Genomic DNA, 20,666 nt, shown 5'->3' with positions numbered 1-20,666 from the left:
GTAAAGCTCTCTTTCTCTACCAAAATGGAGCAGAGGGAGGAACATTTGCATTTGACTTCTGCTGATAAAAATGAAACATTAAAATGCTATTTGGCAAGTAAGCAAAAGCCCAGAGGAGCAAAGCCTGATTCTTTTTTAGACATAGTTCTTTGCAGAGTCCCCTTAAGAGTGCTCAGTAGGGTGTGACCATATTGCTCCCTGTGGTCATCATATGGTTTGCTCACGCAGACGTTGAATTGTTTTGTGAATGTGAAATATTGTATGTTACCCCGAGAGCTGTGGAGCCAGCAGATCCAGGAGCTGTTGTTGAGACTGACAGTTACATTGTGTTACTGAATAGTGAAACGGCAGAATCAAAAACACAAATGGGCCCAGACAGAATGTCCTGACCTTTCAGAAAAAGGCTGATTGGATATGGTGTAAGCTTGCCTTCATTTCCCTCCACAATCCATTACACCTTTCTCAGACCACTTTCTCAGAGTAGGCGGCTCATAGATGAGCTTCTCTTAGATTCTTTATGTGAAAATATTTATGGGGAAAAAAAAACCTAGGAGCACTGCAGCAAATAGCCACCTTCCCCCATATAATTTATTCTTGATAGTTATTTTATATTAACACAGCCAAAAGACAACATTAATAACAGTGTTATCCTTGTTGATCTAAGCGTATTGGTATTAATACTAGTATTTAAATTAAAAAATGAAGACAGATGACCAGATATGGGAATGAATTTGTAAACAATGCTTACAAACAAATGCCATTTAAATGTCTTTAAACTCATAAATTACTGTTTGCAATTACTATTCACTATATTGCTAATTTCTTCAAGCAACCTATATATAAAATATGGAAAGCACAGAAAGGTAGAAGCAATCAGTGTCTCATTTCTCTTTATACATTTTTCTATTAAAGAAGATTTTCTATTAAAGGAGATTTTTTAATAAAGTAATGGTTTTCTTTATAATAAAATTCATTCATTGGTGAGTTTATAATTAAAATATAGCATATATTTTTGTAAGCTTACATTGATATAGCATGTATTTTCATAAGTTTATATTACGTTTCTTTCACTTTATTTGTGAGACTATTAAATATCATCATTTTAAAGATTGATGCTGTTCATGTATGAAGATATATGTGATATATTATTAAATCCAGTGTCCTACGTTGTCGGACACAAGCACCATTATGGTAAGTTAGAACAAGACTATAAAATAACAACTAAGATCATTAACATGACAAAAAATTATAGCTTAAACTACATATTCATTTCTGCTACATTAGAGCTGGATAGTGAAGTGAAATTTTGACTGCCAGGAAAACTTGAATTCCAATACTCAAATAAAATAGTCAAGATGCATGTTCGTGGTAAAAAATATATATATATTAAATATTTATAAAAGTATATTTGAATATTTATAAAAAATATATTTTAATAAAAATTTATAAATATGTATATAATATATATAGCTCCTCTTTATCCTTACTAAGATAGATTTCTCCTTCGATTTCATTTCTAATAATTTTTTCCCCAGAGAACAAACCTGTGGACACACAGAAGTCTTTTTAAAGAGTTCTGTCTGTCTTTCTCTCCCTCTCTTTCCTGTTTAGGATTTCTAGGCTGCCCTTCTGCTTGACAAAATCTCTTTCATAAGTTAATACATTTGACTTCAACAGCTTCTTATTCTATGAACATTTACTACCACTAGACTTGTGATAGGTGATTTAAAAATATTTATAAGCTTATATTGTATTTACTTGAATATTTCATTTGTCTCATGAGATAGAGGGACTTAACTTCCCGTCAGATTTTTAAACTCTGAACTTCTGCTCCAAAAGTCTGATGATTCTACTGGTATTTCTTGCATCTCTGTTACAGGAGAGGAAAGCATCTTCTGGCTCAATTAGCATGCTAAAGAATGGGTTTGGTTTCGTGCTCCATTAAAGTCAACTAAATAGATGCGCTGCATGTCTTTATTTCAAAAATAAAGCTGAACAATTAAATCCCGTGTCTCTTTGCTCAGTTTTTGATCCCACACAAAGCTTTCCCACTTGCTGCCTTTGGATGTAATGTTAACAAAGTCAGTTAACATCAAGCACTGCAGTAACAGGCATGGCAGAATTCCTTGTTTTTGCTCAATCAGTCTGTGTTCAAACTATCAGTTTGATTTATTTGTCCACATTGACCCTTATTCACCACTTAATTATCCTCGTATAATGTTTCAAGAGGCTCCTGACACAAGGAGAAAGACAATCGCCGATGTTCTGTAAAACAACGGTTGACCTGATGGGCCCAGATGAAGACCGTGGGTCGGAGTTTGTTTGCTTTTGGAAGAACCCACTTCTCCTGTCCGAGAGCTGCATCCAGAGCCACTCGCTGTGGGTGCCACAGGCTGGCCGGTCAAGCTGTTCGTCAGGTTCTCAAACTGTGAGCTGACCATCACCACGGGATAGTCATGGCGTTTTGCTCTATTGGCCTCTCCAAATCCCCCGGTATGTTGGGTGTATTAGAGTTCAGAAAAAAACAAAACCCATGCACCCACTAACACACAAACACACACACACACACACACACACACACACTGAACCTCAATTTCAGCAATGTCTTTATTAGTATATGGTTACTGCTGTGATTAGAAATACATTTTCTCACTTTGTGTATGAACAGGAAAGGTTTTCGAATCACAGGTATGAAATGAGAAATAATATTTAAACATTGAACTGCTTCATATTGTAGTTGATCTCTAAGCTCCTGCTCATAAACCAGATGAATTATAATTTTATTGGAAAATAAACCAATGTCTTTTATACCTAGCCAGAAATACTATTTATTGTAATAGGTTTCATGTGAAATTAAGACAATTATTTTAGAACTGTTGAAATCTGACAACTATTCTATATTCATAGCCCTTAACATTCAAATATAAATTACTGATAGTTAAAAACAGATAATAAACATCAACATTTCTAGAAAAACAGCCCATATAAATATAAAATCATAATTTTATATTTTGAAGTGATTTTCTATAAAAATTTTAAATCTTTTATGGCAAGTTGAGCCCATATTTCATTTGGCTACACCTTAGTATGCATAAATGGTTTTTGCAACACCCTACTAACCTTGGTTTGTCATTTTAATTTTTTACACATTTTCCTCTCCTGTTTAGTACATTTTCCATCTTATTAAATTTTACTCTGCACAGTTACCAATGCAAATGACAGCCTAATTGTTTTTCATACATTAAAAATGTTCATCAATGTCGTTTGAACCTAAAATTAGAAAATCATACTCTAACATAGCCTCCATGTGTTGGTGACGTTTATTCTTTTGTGTCTTAGCCTTTCTCTGTGATGGACATATGATCACAAATGTTGCTGCACAGAAACAATAACACAAGAATTAGATAAATGACAGATGACAATTTCAAAATGAAAAATATCAAATATTTCTAAAAGCTACTTGGTAGGATTTTTTTTACTGCTGTAACTGTAACCAAAACTCTGAGAAGCATTTTTGGAAGCCCCAGTTACCAGTATGAAAGCCACCAGAATAGAGTCTTGTACATGCCACAACCCCGAACTCTCATTCCGTCATCCTGGGGAGGTCTGAGATCCCAGCAGAGATGGTCTGGTGGCCAGTGACCTTCTATTTGATTTGGTGCAGAGGGACTGAGCATCTGGAGGCCAACCACGTGGCCTGGGCGTCCCACTCAAACTTGCTAGCTGCAATTTCCTCATCATCGAGGACTTTCTATCTTCTGAGGTTGGATACAGAGTCCCCAGGAGTCCCGGTAGTGTTCAAGATGACACAAGTCTGAGAGGACATGAGCTGAGCCAGGCACACCAGTGACCTGCAGGCCTGCACACCCAGCTTTGACCAGGGTGGATCCACTTTTTTCAGTTCTTTTCCATATCAGATTTTTTTTTCCAGAATGAAGTGTCCTGTGGCCTTTAAAGAGTTTTGTTTTGTTTTGTTTTGTTTTGTTTTAAGACCTGAATATAGAGGCCTTCCAGCTCTGGGATTATGTAACTCTAGGAATAAAATCATAGTTCTTACAGCTGAAAGAATACAATAAGACAAAGTAGAATAGGCAAAAAACCTGAGGTGGAAAATCTGGCCTCCGTGTTGTCCCTTAAACAGGCTCACCGTCCTTCCAATGGGTTCAATTATTTGCTACTGAAGAAATCATTCCGTATGTTCCCCTGTCTGCAAACACACGGGCCTGAGATCCCCTAAGTAAGAACACCAGTGGCAAGATGAAGACACAATCAGGGACTTGTTCCAACATGGACTCCTGCTCTAAGAAAGCCCACAAAGCTGCTCTCTCTGTTCTGGCCTTGCTGTCTAATACCAAGGAATTTTCATGACATGTTCCAATAGAAATGACCAAAATAAAAATCTCTCTGAGAAAAATGCCGCCCTCTTCTAAAAATTATTGTTGTTGTTGCTTTATCTCATTTTTCTGCTCAATGTTTCTTTCTACCTGAAAACAAATTTTTTAATCTGAAAAAATAATTTGCTTTCAACTCTTTTTGCTACCTCCACCTGTTTCCTCCCAAATCAGGTCTGTGTCAAAAGTTCATTACCAGCAGCCCAAAGAACCGTAGGATTCTCTCACAGATGCACTTTTGCATCTGCCAGTGATTAAGAACAAAGCACAGACGTAAAAGCAACCCAGGTGAGAAAGGGTTACCAGGAGCCACAGAAATAAGCACATCTTAGCAAATATGCTTAACTAACTCCCATCACTGTAAACCTCCCAACTAATTGAATTAAGGTTAACATGAATCTTAACAAGAAGATAAAAAAGAATTGGACTCTGAATAAAATTCTAAATTTACCAGAGTATTTTGGATTATTATCCAAATGAATAGAATGGGCAGGGTTAATAGATTGCTAGATTTGATTTTTGATGGAGTAAAAATTCAACCAAACCAGACCTTGGTCCTCCTGAAGATAAGTGGCTGAATAATACTTGAGAACTTCCCTTGTTTCAGGAACTGTGAGAAGTCTTTAGGTACCTTGAAAGCACAGGTGACTTCTCTATTTGACACCAGTATGCCCTTGAAAAAGTTATTCTGTCTTTCAGCATCACAATTTCTCTCTATGTAAAATGTTGGGAGTATGTAGTGTAACCTAAATACATCACCTACCTCATGCCTGTCACAAAGAACGTTATCTTGAAATTAGTTTTCTTTCAATTCACTTCCTTATGTAATCAATCCCACAGCACCTATGAAACAGGTGTGATCATCCTTTTAAGGATGCACTGGCTGGGCGAGATGGCTCATGCCTGTAATCCAGCACTTTGGGAGGCCGAGGCAGGTGGATCACCTGAGGTCAGGAGTTCAAGACCAGGCAGACACCTGTAATCCCACCTACTACGGAGGCTGAGACAGGAGAATCACTTGAATCTGGGGGGCAGAGGTTGCCATGAGCCAAGATGGTGCCACCTCACTCCAGCCTGGGCGAAAGAGCGAGACTCCATAAAAAAAAGGGGGGGTGCACTGACTTAGGCTTGGGAGAGTGATGAGAATGCAAACATAGGTCTCCTGGAGTCTCCAGCCTGTGATGGCCAACATAATGCAAATTTAGCCTCAACATGTGCATATTTGTGGGGAAGCATGCTATAGTTGAAGGGAGGAAGATGGAAAAGAAGTAGAAAAATATGGAGACATGTAGCTACATGTATGTGACCATATATCCTACATCTGATCTTGGAAGCCATGCAAAATGGCCAAGTCCTGACTGGAGATGTTGCAAGAGAAGCAATGTGGTACACAGTTTTTTGGTTTAAAACAGTGGTTCTGGCAGGAGGTAGGAATTCAGTTCCTCAGAGGACATTGGGCAATGTCTGAAAACATTTTGGTTATTACAGTGGGGGAGGGAGTGTTACTGGCATCTGGTGGGTAGTGACCAGGGATACTGCTAAATATTGTAGAAGGCCCAAGGCAGCCCCTACAACAAAGAATTATGCAGCCCAAAATGTCAGTAGCACCAAGACCGAGGCACTGGTTTCAAATGAAAAGTTCAACAAGAACAATAAAATAGTCTTTTCATGTATTTATTCCTTTTCAGTAATAGTCTTTAAATATTCTGGCAATAATGTCAAATGGAGGTTTGCTCAGTACACTAATTCTGTGAGAAGGTTACAATGTTCTAAGGTGAGAAAAGTATGTGTTTAAATAAATGTATTGTTTCTAATACTGGAATGAAGATAGCCCTGAGATAATTGATACTTAAAGTAGTTATAGGTTTTAAATCACAAAAGGTACTAAAAAACATATTTATAGGCTTTAAATCACAAAAGGTACTAAAAGGTACCAGTCAGTAATGTTGATCTAAAATAAAAGTGTAAAATGTTCTCACGAAATTTTCTTCTGTCAGGAAAATCTGAATTCCTTGACTTCAATTATTTGAATTTTGGGGATTTGGAACAAACAACATCCAAAATCGATCGTGCATCGAACAAAAAGATGTAGGAAAGATAAAGACACAAGTTTAAAATCATTTTAAACATGTGTACTGCTTTAAATGTCTATATTTTGCTCAAACTGGTACCTTCCCTGTAAAACTGACACCGAATCCAAACAAGATGACACAATAATATTCTTCAAAGAATGAAGAGTAGATTCAATATATAGTTTACCTGTGTGTCAAAAAACAAAACTAGCTTGATCATTGAAAACCAACTACTTGCGGAGGAAAAAAATAAAGGCAATTCATTTTCTTATTTCACTGAGTCTTTCTAACATAAAAAAGCATGAAGACTGAGTGTTCAGTAGAGTCTACAATGTTGACCCCAAAGTTCAGGATTGCATTGTTAGGTTTGACTCTGTCTGATGGCAGAAGGGCTTCTGTCTCCCAGCATCTAATAAGGAAAATCAAGTTGTGTTTTCCATGTGGTGACTCCTATCAGCAGAATTTTAAATATACTTTTAATAAAAGCACATGACATGTGAAACTTTATGGTTGGTATGCGTAGATGGAAAACCATTAAAAATGTTTTTAATATGGGAAATTTATGACCACAAAATCAGTATATATCAAAGACTTTGGCCAAGGCATACCAATAAAGCATTCACCTACTGGGTAATGTTAAAACAGGGCAAGATAAAAGTAAAGCTGGTTCATTTCTTCCCATCACAACAAAAAGATTGATAAAGAACATACTTGATATCAAACAGAGCTTCCTGCTGGCTTCAGTTACCTGGGAGTTCGGAGCCTGTGGTTTGAATAATGTTCCGCCTACAATAGGAAAGACAGCAGAAGTGTGGAGAGACTGATGGGGCTTCCTGCAGGCTGAGCTTTTAGAGTTCAAACTCATTCTTTATTCTCGAGTAGAAACGATAACAAATGTGTAAATAAATAGTCACGGATCTTCTGATGTTCCTCTTTTGGTGCTGGGAATTGCATAATGGTTCACCCAGTGGAGATGAGCTGCATTCCTCAAACTGTACTCCAGAGTTATGTAAGTTATCAAAAGAATTGGCAAAGAAGAATTTTTCACAAATTCACCTGAAAATAAATCTCTGTATATGAGATTCCTGAAGAAACAGGGTTTAGACAGTTGGTGCACTGACTAAAGAAAATTTGATCATGAAAAACATAAAATCTGTAATATTAATAGACTTCCTACACAGCATAAGCTATCATTTTAATGACTGTAAGTTTTGTCTCTTTAATTTTGGAAAATATGTTGCCAAAGTAATAAAATCTTAATATAACAATCTAAATTTTAATATGAAATATAACTATACCTGATAGAGGTCATAATTTTTTTTTCCTAAAAGGAATGCCTAAATCACTATCAAAGAGATCTCCTCTTGATCCTCGTGAACTTAGCCATTATTTATCTCATTTTCAAACATATCAGTAAAAACACCTAAGACAATACATTTTGTAATTTCATACATCATTTTCTAATCATTTCTAACCATTGAAATAACAATTATATTTGGCATTCAAGTTTTTGAAATCCACCTTTGTTTCTGTTATTAGCAGATATGCTTTGAGTAATGCACAGAGGGCAATACTCTAACTTCTGACAAATGAGCCTTTAAGTTAAAGGAAGGTGGAGACAAAGAAAATTCTGATATAATTCAAACTGGCTGAGCTATAGAAGCAGTGCCGAGTGACCACGAGAGGGCAGCATCCTCAAATAGTTGTGAGGGGGAGGGGCGGGGGCGGCAGGGATGCAATTTATGGTGGTTAGCTGAACCTGTGTAGAACTTCAAAGTCTTGTACTGTTTTCTAATTCTTCCAGTCGAAACCCAGAAAAGTGAGAACAAGCATTTTTTTTCTCCAACTTAAAAAACAAGTGGAAGAAATTCTAAAGCAGAAATAACAACACTTTACAGCACTTAACCATGTGTCTGGCACTGTTCTAAGGGCTTTACAAATATTTACTCCCTTAGTTCTCCTAAGAACCCTGTGACGTGCACACCATTATTACTCCCAATCTTACAGAAAAGGAAACCGAGGCACGGGGAGTTTATCACTTGCTCCAGTCACATAGCTGCCAATCGGTGGAGTTGGGATGCAGACCACAGCAGCTGGATCTAGTCCAAGCATAAGACTTCTCCAGTGGAACTGAGAATTCCCAGTGGGCCCTCTGTTCTAGTGAGTCATTAAGCCTCTCTGATGAACTCGAAGTCAGATAGTAACTTTCTCCTCTCACTCAATTTTCTTAGAAGATACAATGTGATATTTTTGTCTTATTTTCCATAATAATAACCCATCTGCACTTAAAAAGAAATCCACCGTGTTTCCTTAAAATGCACACTATTACAGGCATATGTGATATATGAAGACTCGTCAAAGAGAATAATGCCCATTTTAGGCTTTGAGTCTTAAGACAGTGGAAACCTAAATGTACACAAAAATAAATAAAGACTCAAGCCTTGGTCAGCACCGGGCTTATAAATTGGTTAAACCAACAGCCTACATATGGGGAAAAATGAAGAATATCTACAAAATAATATATTATTATATGCTCATCATGATATTGAAAAAATTGACTCAAGAACTACTTGAAGGGGATCCCAAGCTAGAAAAAGACAAATCAAATTAATTAATCAATCAGGAGTATCAAATCAAAACAAGTTTTAAAAATAGACTTATAGGAAAGAGGTAGTAAATTCATGTTGAACAAATCTGAACTGTCAAGTAAACCATTCATTCATTCATTCATTCATTCATCTGGAAATTATGGAGAGTTAGGGACAGAAGCAATGACCTCTTCACAAAGTAGAGGCTGAAAGAGGAGTAGGATTTTGCTAGAAGAGGCAAAGAAGGAGAGTGCTTTCTAGGAAAGGGATCAACAAAAACCAAGTTCAGAGATGAGGAAGAGCAGAACGTGTCTGAAGAATGGCAAAAAGCCATAATTAGCTAAAATCTGTGATCTCTGGAGAAAGGTGGGGGAAATGAGCCAGCAAATATAGGGGGTGGAAGGGAGGAAAAATATTTCTTTCCTTCTACTTATCCTAGGTTCATGGCTGAGGCCCTATAACAAAATGAAGATTAACAAAAGAGGCTGGGCACAGTGGCTCACACCTGTGATCCCAACATTTTGGGAGACCAAAGTGGGAGGATTGCTTCATCTGAGGAGTTTGAGACCAGCCTGGGCAACATAGGAAGACACTGTATCTACAAAAATCCAGGAGGATTGCTTGATCCTGGGAGGTAAAGGCTGCAGTAAGCCATGATTGCACCACTGCACCCCAGCCTAGGTGACAGAGCAAGACATTGTCTCAAAAAAAAAAAAAAGTAATGAAAGAAAAGCATAGAAATGTGTTTAATATAAATTGTACATGATACCAGAGCCTTCATAAGGAAATGAAGACCTGAAGAAACAGTTCAACCTGAATGTTTTTTGTTTTGTTTTGTTTTGTTTTGAGACAGAGTCTCACCCTCTTGCCCAGGCTGGAGTGCAGTGGTGGGATCCTGGCTCACTGCAAGCTCCGCCTCCCAGGCTCACACCATTCTCCTGCCTCAGACTCCCGAGTAGCTGGAACTACAGGCGACCGCCACCATGCCCGGCTAATTTTTCATATTTTTAGTAGAGACAGGGTTTCATCGTGTTAGCCAAGATGGTCTCGATCTCCTGACCTCGTGATCCACCCGCCTCGGCCTCCCAAAGTGCTGGGATTACAGGCGTGAGCCACTGCACCCGGACCTGAATGTTTTTTATAGTAGATTTGATGAAGAGTGGACAGTCATGAAGAAATATGACAGGGCAAAAAGAGTATCATCTAATGGTAATAAACTGGAAGAAGTTTATTACCATTAACTGGGAAAAGGCCTGTTTGTTCAGATTCTTCTCTGTTACCCTTCATCTTCAGAGAGAAGGATATTCCTGTCCTCTGGGTATAAGGAAAGCATCTCTCACATGAGAGTCTTATGACCTTATTCAGGGGAGGGTCAGAATATCCTCCCAGGTTTTATGACCGGAAGAAGGCCAGCAGCAGGAGTGGGAAAGCAAGTGAGAGTGACTTTCCCACTTCTGCAGTTTTCTCAAATTACTTCAGCTTAAAATGCCCAATATGCCAAGGTTCCATATTTTGGGATAGTGAGTCCTGAACCCCATCAAGGGCAATGGGATCTTAAGTCTCTGAAACAAAAGTCTTGGTAAGGGACTTGACTTTTATATTGTAGGAAATGCAGAAAATAAGATTAAATTCTGGTGCATATCTAGTGTGCAAGTAAAAGGTTATCTTCAAATGTGTTATTAAGTATTCACATGAAGGATTGAATCATGAGTTCCTTTAGGGTCACAGATGCTGCCCGATCAGGAAAGCAAGCCCACATTTTCAAATGGCTTAATGAATAGGAGCAGCAACAATTAAAAAGAAGTACTGAAAGAGAGGTGAAGAGAGGAGGTGAGTAAGGGCAACTGAAGAACAGGTAATAGAGGTAGTGTCTCCAGAATGCACAAAAGAGGAGATTTAAGCAATGATGGTCTGTTTATCAGTTAATGTCCATCAGCCTCAGACCAGCAAAATGATCAAGAGGACCCAATTACCTAAATCAGACATTTTAAAACATAGGCATGTGCCTCTCAAACATTTTGAGTGCCTACTATGTTCAAGACACTGGACTAGGTGCTAGTTTAATGCAAGATGAAAGAGAGATGATTTCTGCTGCCCAGAAATTTATAGTCTGTATAGGAGCAGGGTGAAGTTGGTCAATAATAAAAATCATTGTACTATAGTCAAGATCTCACGAAGAGCTGTCTGCATAGTTCTATGTAGAGAAATAAGAAACTGGTCATTTAGAAGGATGTTTAGGTTATTTTTTATTATTATTATTATTATTATTATCATTATTATTATTATTTTAGAGACAGGCATTCACTATGTTGCTCCGGCTGTACTCAAAATCCTGGACTTAAGCCATCCTCCCTCTCAGCATCCCAAGTAGCTGGGATTACAGACAGGAGCCACCACGCACAGCAATGTTCAGGTTATTGTTTTCCAGGACTGTCTGGGCCAAGGATGCTATTCGTTCCTCTTCTCTTCTAGAAGATTCTATTTCTCTCTCAAGGTTTATTTCTCTGAAGAGGTTCCTAAATCTTCTTTCACCCCAGCTCTTAATAAAGGCCTAATCAATGAATAAATGAATGAATGAATGAATGAGGAAATTGAATGTTTATGTGACAATTCAGGCCCCAAAAGTTTGCATAATCAAATATAAGAAAAAATCCTGCCTTGCAAAGAAAGTCTTTGTGTCTCTTCTTCCTGCACCAAAAAAAAAAAGTTTAATAATATGCTTTTGTTTTACAAATAGTAAATTTAGACATTTCCTTGAAAGAAAACTGAGTGATATCTATGCAAGCAAAAAAAAAGAGACAGAGAAAAGTGGATACTACACTGAATAGAAAATTGAAAGGCTAGTTTTAATCCTAGCTTGCTACCATCTAACTGGATAAACTTAGACAATTTGAACTAATATTTCCTCCCTGTTTCAACTAGTAGAAAATGTATTAATTAGCAACTTTTTTTTCCGTGGGGCGTGGTAGAGAGAAAAAAAGTAAAAGTCAATTCACAATGATCAGAAATGAAAAAAATAATGAAAATTAAAAAAAAACTTTAGGCACTTTATTACATGTTTGGGTTTAGTGTACCTAGTGTATGCAATATTACTTCATTTTCAAAATTATTCCAACATGCATTGTTCTTGTACTGCAGATGAAGAGTCTGAAATCTAACGTTGTTTGTAGTTACATATTCCCCCAAAGTGGCCAAACTAGCAAAGTAGAGCTATGACATATATATGAGATCTATTCACATAAAAATAAAATGCAAAATCCCTAAATGCAATTTTCTCATTGCATGAGAAAATGATTTGAAAGTTTTTGAGAAAGTACTATAATCAGGTTGACTTTACATATACAGTAATAACACGATGCAGAAAAAAATTATTTTCTCATGAATTTAACAAACAATTGCTAAATAAGTTATTGTGCCAAGGACTGGGGTGCAATACAGTAGAAATTGTGTCCATCCCAGGGAGTTTTCAGTGTAGTGAGAGATGTAAATAAGTAATCAGCCAATTACAATTCAGTGGGGTAAGTATTGATAGAGGGGCGGAGGATACTCTGGGAAAACATAAAATGAGTTCTGAACTCTGTGTGAAGAGTCAGGAAAGCGTTGATGGACCAGCAGAAGTGAGCCAGGTGAAATGTGGGTAGGAGTGTTCCTGAGAGGGGAAAGAAAATGAGCAGAGACCCTAACAATAGAGAAATATGACTTATGGCTTATTCTGGGGAACTAATACAGGTTTCCTGTGCCTAGAGGGTAGGGTTTCAGATGGGGAATGGAGAGGGATGAAAGTAGCAGTAGGTATAAAGGAGCCAGACTAACATGAGCTTTGAAGCCATGGTTAGGAGATTGGATTTAATTCTAAGGCTGCTAAGTATCACCTGACCTGTTTGTGAGTTAGTATGGAGGCTGAATTGGAGAGAAACACAACTGTAGGCAGGCTACCAACTGTGATAGACTCCATTACTTGTTCGCAATTGTTGGCTCCCTCCTGACTCTGAGCACACTCTCCTGTGGGTATAGTATACTGCCCTATCCTAACAACTATGAGCTTGGCCACAGGACTCACTCTGGCCAACAGAATCCTAGTGGACTTAACATATGCCACCTCCGAGCAGAAGTTTTAAGTGTATGTGATGTGGCTCTGTCCTTCCTGAGCTTCTTCCCTTGGCCATGAGACTAGTTAACCTCAAACAGGAACTGCTGCCTCAGCCTGAGCCCTGGAATGACATAAGATGTGGAGCCGAGCCAAAGTCAGGCAAGCCCGGCTAGACTCAGGCAAGCCCCACCCCTCCCAGTCAAACCTGCGGTTAACCTGCTGTCTTCATGTAACACAAACAAGAAATAAATGTTTGTTTGTTCGTTAAACAACCAAGATTTTAGAATTGGCTGTTGTCACAATAATTGCTGACTAATCAATCAGCAATTATCACAAGTGAAATGTGATAATGTGAGAAATGTGATAAATGACTGTGGTATAAATTAAATTGTGACATTAAGGTTGGGAGATTTGAGGGCTACCAAAGGAACAAAACCAAACAGGCCTTAGTAATTTATTAGAGGTAAAAGTGAAAAATATAGAGGAGCAAATCATGATATTGAGATTTCTGTCTCAGTAACTGGGGATGGGAAGCAAAGACATGTTAGAAAATTTTAAATGTTGAATTCTTTAGCAAGTACAAAGAAAATAATGGAGCATAAGTTAACACTGACAAATATTTTAATGCACATTTGTGTGATTATAATTACTAAAGTGACTATCATCCATCTCTGTTAAGCATCTAACAAGTGGAAATAAGCTTAATTTGCATGAAAAGAGGTTATTACACTCAAGAATGACACTTCTGACTAAAAAGGTTGTTAGATATTAGAATGCATTATCCATGGTATTCAAGGAATTTTCTTTTACAGGGAATATTTAGTTCCAGATTAGACATGGAATTTTCAAAATTAATTATGAAGGAAGATTTTTTTTCTAGCAGTGTGATTTTACACTACTCTTTCCTATTCTTCAATGACTTTGCTTAGGTTAATTTTATCTCTCTGGGCCTTCATTTCACCATCTGTAAAACCAAGAAATGGGACTGGATGGTTTTCAAAGCTCCTCACAGTTTGGAAACAGCGAAGCAGACCCCACCAGGACTGTACAACATTATGGAGTAAGCACATAGCCTGGATTATGAAAGGGGTCTTGGGAGGCTTAGGAAAGTTACCTGTATATACTGTCCTTTTTATATATCAATATTGATATTGCCAGAGATAGAGAGAAGACACTGTTTTTAAGCCAGGTTTTTTTTCTGATAAGGAAAAATGTTTAGTTAAAATCATTTTTGGCATAATTAAAATGTGGAAAAAAAAGGGTCAAGAAATGTAATTTTCTGTGACTTTTAAAATATGAATAGAAATCCCAAATATTTAATGCCTTAATCCTTGCTCTATGTGTCAACATAATTAGACTTTACAGTTTGACCTAAGTAGCTACACTTTGCCTTGGAAAAAATATTAGGATAAGCAATATCTATATATGCCTTTAGACCTAACGCAGCATAAAATATGATAAGTAATACTCATAATTATTGGATTTGACAAGTGGGCTGTTTTTACAGCTATGTGACTTCTAAATAACTAGATGCTTTAAGTACAGTTTAACGTTATTAAATGAGATTTTATTTACAAAATGTCTGGCACATAATAAACAATTAAAAAAACCATGTGTCATTAGCACTCTCAGGTCAGGCCTATTGTGGAGCATCTGTAAATGCAGGTGGTGCTAAGTCTGATCACAAAATAACTGAAATCACAGATTACCAATCAGTTAACAACACTTATTGGGTACAGAGTCCTGCAAATTCAGACACTGTTATGCAGAAAGGAAGGAAGTTCATGTTAGAAAATAGACTAAGCTATATGAGACCCAAGAGGAAGTTAGGCTATAAAATGGAAACACACACACACACACACACGACGGTTTCTGATCACGGAGTTCCTCAAATTTTAAAAATAAATAAGAACATGCTGACTTTTCATCTACCCGCCAAAGATAAAGCTAAAATACATAAAGACAGGTAGTCTAAAATGCAAGGGTCACAGGACAAAAGGTCTGTACCCATGAAGTATGGAATAATTTCTTAAACTACTAACCCAACCCAACTACCAATCATTGGTAATCTGTGATTTCAGTTATTTTGTGATCAGACTTAGCACCACCTGCATTTACAGACGCTCCACAATAGGCCGGGCCTGACAGTGCTAATGACACATTGTTTTTTTGAATGTTTATTATGCGCCAGACATTTTGTAAGCAACAGACCTCTTTATGCACTTGTAAGGGCAGAAAGATGTGACACCTTTCCTCATCCAGCACAGCTGACATTTCTATAACAAAAGACTGACTGGTTAGCAAGAGAAAAGCGTAACAAATTTATTTAATCAAAGTTTTATGTGACATGGGAAACTTCAGAGATGAAGACCTAAAGACCCTGGGAAAACCATCTATTTTTATGCTTAGGATCAATGAAGAATGGGTAGCCGTGTAGAAGTGTGATTGGACCAAAGGGTAATAGACTGAGGGCAGAACCCAGTGAGGTCTGACTGATCAGATTCTTTTTGGCCTCCCTGTGTAGCCTTCTTTCCTCCTGGATATGGGGCAGGACCCATCTGGAATGAGAATTTTCAAGGGAGAAGGGAGAGAGTGACCTTTATATGTTTTATGACTTGCTTTGGAAGAAAGAGGTTCTAGTTTCTGTGACCCACCTTGGGAAAGAGGAATTCTGGTTTCTATGACTCGCTTTGTGGTAGAAAGAGGGGCAACAGATAGGAGGACGGGAGAGGAGCAGAAGGACCGTGCCTCTCAGTCTTTCAATCTCCTTTAGTTCAAAGTACTCAGCATGCCAAGGTGCCTTACTTTGGGGTATCATATTGTCAGCCCCAATACCCTCATGACTATCAAAGAGTTTTACAGAAGACTTTTACTAGTCTCAGAATTAGTAGGGAACAATCTTTTTGAGCTAAAAGATGGCCAATATGTAACTTTGCACATAGTAGGCACTCAGATGTTTTGAATGATAAATTGTTAGGGTTAAAAACCATTAACTCTGTAAAGGAAAATTAAGTATTGCTGTATCTATTTGGCCCAACATATCCTCCATGAACTAATTAGAGTAATGACTATTTGCAGACATTTCCACACAGGTAATTATTTGTAAGCAAGTTAACATTTTTTTAGAGGGGAGGGAAAAATTCAAATAATAGTTATTTCAGATATTATTCTCAGTTTTATGATATGAAATACTGGTCTTAGTATATGTACCAATAATGTACATATATGTATAATAATACCAAAAACTTACAGTACATATATGTGCCAGATACCATTATAAGCACAACTATACATGTGTATACATTCATTTAATTCTCACAAAAACCCTATCAGGTAAGTCCTATTATCCCCATGTTACAAAAGAGAACACTGAGGCTTAGAAAGGTTAAGTAACTTACTTCGGATCACACAGCTAGTAAATGATAAAGACAGAATTCAGATGAGATCAGGCACATTCAGGGTGGTATGGCTGTAGACATAAAGCCAGAATTCAAACATGGGCAGTGTATCTTCATTATCTGTGCTCTTAACCCAAATGTTATGGTGTTCCTCCAGTAAACTAACTAAGATGTATTTCATTCCAGTATCTCTCACAAGACTGGAATTTCCACCAAGGCAAAGTGTAGCAACTCAAGCCACGTCTCATAAATCCCAGTGTTGCATATTCTCCTTAGTATATTTAAAATGACAGCTGATGATAAAGGAAAATCTGCTTTCAATAAATCTCAAGCTCAGGCTCAATTCAGTCTATCATATCACTTTGTAATATGAAAAATAAAATGGAAAATCCATATATACATTAATGATCACCTTATTTATTTGTTCCATCATCCAGACTTTGAATGGAAGTGGATGAAAAGTGGTCCAATGTTGGGAACAGGCCCCCCAAAACCTGGCCATAAACTGGCCCCAAAATTGCCCATAAACAAAATCTCTGCAGCACTGTGACATGTTCATGATGGCCATAACGCCCATGCTGGAAGGTTGTGGGTTTACCAGAATGAGGGCAAGGAACACCTGGCCCACCCAGGGCAGAAAATTGCTTAAAGGCATTCTTAATCCACAAACAATATTATGAGCGATCCTTAAGGACATGCTCCTGCTGCAGATAACTAGCCAAACCCAACCCTTTATTTTGGCCCATCCCTTCGTTTCCCATAAGGGATACTTTTAGTTAATCTAATATCTATAAAAACAATGCTAATGACTGGCTTGCTATTAATAAACACTGGGTAAATCTCTGTTCGGGGCTCTCAGTTCTGAAGGCTGTGAGACCCCTGATTTCCCACTTCACACCTCTATATTTCTGTGTATGTGTCTTTAATTCCTCTAGCGCCACTAGGTTAGGGTCTCCCCGACCGAACTGGTCCCGGCAGTCCAAAAGGAATTAAAACAGAATTTAATTAGACATTGTATTTATGTCCCTATGTTTTTCAACTTTCACATACTGTAAATAAAATTATAGTCCCCTGTGTAATCATTTCCATTAACACTGATTTCCTGAGTGATCTGTGTGATAGAAACTTGTCAAATTCATAATCAATATGGATCAAGCAGAAACTATTAGCTCTGTTCTACCTGGATAATGCCTAACTCCAAGTGTGTTGTTCAAAGACACCCTTATCATGATCCTGCTGCAGTTTGGAGTCTTGCACCAGTGTCCTGCCTGTCAAGAGCTGTGAAGACCTAAGCTATTTACCAAAAAGCAAGCTAACAATTTATCCTGCCACAATTTCATGGATAATTGCAAAAGCCACAAGACTCTGGATTAGACTCAAAGGACTTTCTTACTTCCAACACAACGGGTAGCATGTGTTTTCATATTCACATCAACCCCTTGTTCTGCTAAGTCTCACTGGAGTAATGAAGGTGGGCTGGGTCGATACATGAAGGAGGTTTGCATCATATTGTAACTAGTATAGCCAGTTTGCTAGCTTACTCTAAAAGTAACCCCTCCCTCCCTTTGTTCCTTGTTACATGTAACTGTTTGCTAGAGAATTCCAGTGGCCAATATTGAAATAATGTAGGCATAAAGTGGAGATAGCAGTTGCAATTTTCTCCCTTCTGAGAAAAAATTGGTGTTCAATTAATCCATAACCTGAACCCTGCTGAGATGATGCCAGTGAGGCCTCTGGGTGGTCCATTACTGAAAAAAGTCACCAGAAAATTACAAGCAAACTTGCACCCCGCACCATGCTGGTGCATAGTTTCCATGCCACCTTTCCCCTTTAAACCTCTTTAGCCAAACTGAGAATTTGAGATGGTTTTTTGAGAGTTGAGTCAGGCTGTTTCCTCAAGCTTCTAGCACTTGAAGAAACCTGCTTTCCTCCCACTAATCCTCACTTCTCATGTCTGGCTTTTCAAGCAGTGAGCAGCTGAACATGAATTTGGTTACAATAGCCAAGGAATCCCAAATTTAGGAAAACTTTATTTTTCTTTAATGGGCTACAAACAAACCCGCTCATTAAAGAAAATAATATATCTCTCTCTTTGCCCTAGAGAGAGATATTATTATACTGGACAGCAAACAAACCTGCCCTCTGTTGTGGAGAGAGATCTTACCTCTGTTTTCCAAGACTATTTACTATACAAACATCTTTGAAAAGAACAAGGGGTCTGTTAGTTCTGCTCACAAGATGTAAGAAATGAGAGAGATCTACCTTTCTCTCTGGAGAACTACCTTTCAACATACCTTTACTGCCGAGCCATGTGACTACAGCCATTTGTCTGCAACATACTGCCATAGCCAGGTGGCCCGACTGAGTCAAGGATCAGGATCAGTTTGCAGGAACTCTGATTCCCATCCAACAGTAAAATCCTTATCATAAACCTCCAAACCACAGAAGCCTGGAAATCTACAAATACTACTCATCCAGATGCTGACCAGCCCACTAAAAGTGAAAATAGACTTCTGCTGTAACTATTCAGAAGAGAGAAGGAATCTCTGAGGGTTTGTACTCACTCTTTTTCTCCTTCCCTTTAGCACCCCCACTCCTACCCAGAAAGAATACATATCATCTACTGTTCTGTTTAATCTATTTAGATCATGTCTTTGGCAATTTATGGACTTTGCAAAATTTGTCTCTACACTATCTTCCTTCTACTATCATCATTCCTCGTGCCCTCATCCCACAACCTTGTCCCCACACTAACATGGTACATTCATCAAGGCCAAAGAGTTTACTCTTCCTGCCCAGTCCTAGCCTTGCTCTCTTATCTAACGGTTTCATTTTTCAGACAGGTATCATCTCTAAGAAGGCTTCTGTGTACATTCCCTCAGTGTAATTAGTCTATTCTCATGCTGCTAATAAAGACAAACCTGAGACTGGGTAATTTATAAAGGAAAGAGGTTTAATTGACTAAGTTCAGCATGGCTGGGGAGGCCTCAGGAAACTTACAATCATGGCAGAAGGGGAAGCAAACACATCCTTCTTCACATGGCAGCAGCAAGGAGAAGTGACGAGCAAAAGGGGGAAAAGCCCCTTATAAAATCAGCAGATCTCGTGAGAACTCACTCACTATCATGAGAACAGCATGAGGGTAACTGCCCCCATGATTAAATTACCTTCCACCCAGTCCCTCCCATGACACGTGGGGATTATAGGAACTACAATTCAGGATGAGATTTGGGTGGGGACACAACCAAACCATATCACTCAGTATTAGAACAGTTGCTAATCCTTTGCCCTTCCACGCACCCTGTGTAAACTCCTGTCACTGGCTTAATTTACCACTTTGTATTGCTATTACCAGCTGACATGTTGGCCTCTGTGCCTAACTTATGAGGGACTCGAGGTCAGAGCGTTTGTCTTTATTTACAAATAACCAACAGCTTGTTAAAAGATAAACTTAGGCACACTAAACTTTCAAAGAGTTTATTTGGGCAAACCGTGATTCATAAATCAAGCAGCTGAAGATGACAGGAGATTTTCAGCTTCACCAAAGGAGCATGGGGGGAAAACTTTAATAAGGCTCTTCTCGGAAGCAAGACGAAGAAATGTGTGACTGGTTACAGTGGAATACTAGCCTTAAAGTCTCTAGTTAAAGGTGAGTTGGCCATTCCTAATTGGTGAAGTCCCGAGTTAAGAGCTGAGTTGGTGATTCCTGATTGGTAAAGACCTAATTAGAGGTTAGCTGGCAGTTCCTGATTAGTAAAGTCCCTAATTAGGAGTTAGTTGGCAGTTCCTGATCAGTAAAGTTTAAGTTTCATTTTACCATTTACATTGCATTAGGTTTCGGTTTGCTTACATAGAAACCCAAGGTGCTGAAGTTAGGCCATCTCAGCCGAATGGCCTCCCAATAAATTATTTTTAATGAGCCTAATGCAATGCCTGGCACATAGTGAACATTCAAAAAACTATCTGCGAAAGGAAAAGTGAATGAATAGTGCAGTCACACTGAGCTCATTCACAATTGAACAGAAGGCTCCGAGGAGCCAAGGCTTTATGGCTAAGAAACAAACCTCTAGTGGGAAATAGCAAGTCCTGTTTCAGGTAGGGCATGCTTGCTTCCAATATAGAAAAAA

At 38.2% G+C, this 20,666-nt stretch overlaps 1 long non-coding RNA gene across 1 annotated transcript, besides 1 other annotated feature; it reads left to right on the top strand.

Annotated features, from left to right (window-relative positions):
• Positions 6,937–7,537: an enhancer, noted in NCBI's record as "OCT4-NANOG hESC enhancer chr6:137636227-137636827 (GRCh37/hg19 assembly coordinates)". NCBI's record gives its function as "activates a minimal SCP1, AML or CMV promoter by ChIP-STARR-seq in naive and primed H9 embryonic stem cells {active_cell/tissue: H9 hESC(naive and primed)}" and the evidence as "EXISTENCE:reporter gene assay evidence [ECO:0000049][PMID:30033119]".
• Positions 8,512–16,855, top strand: LOC105378017 (uncharacterized). Its single transcript, XR_943043.1, has 3 exons — positions 8,512–8,623; positions 14,071–14,201; positions 16,726–16,855. It is a non-coding gene; the product is annotated as an uncharacterized LOC105378017 (long non-coding RNA).
• Positions 16,856–20,666: the final 3,811 nt, after the last annotated feature.

The sequence above is a fragment of the Homo sapiens genome, chromosome 6 (genome assembly GCF_000001405.40).
Source record: "Homo sapiens chromosome 6, GRCh38.p14 Primary Assembly".
Classification (NCBI taxonomy): domain Eukaryota; kingdom Metazoa; phylum Chordata; class Mammalia; order Primates; family Hominidae; genus Homo; species Homo sapiens.
Note: the sequence above shows the minus strand (reverse complement) of the source record. Positions and strands in the feature narration are given on the sequence as shown.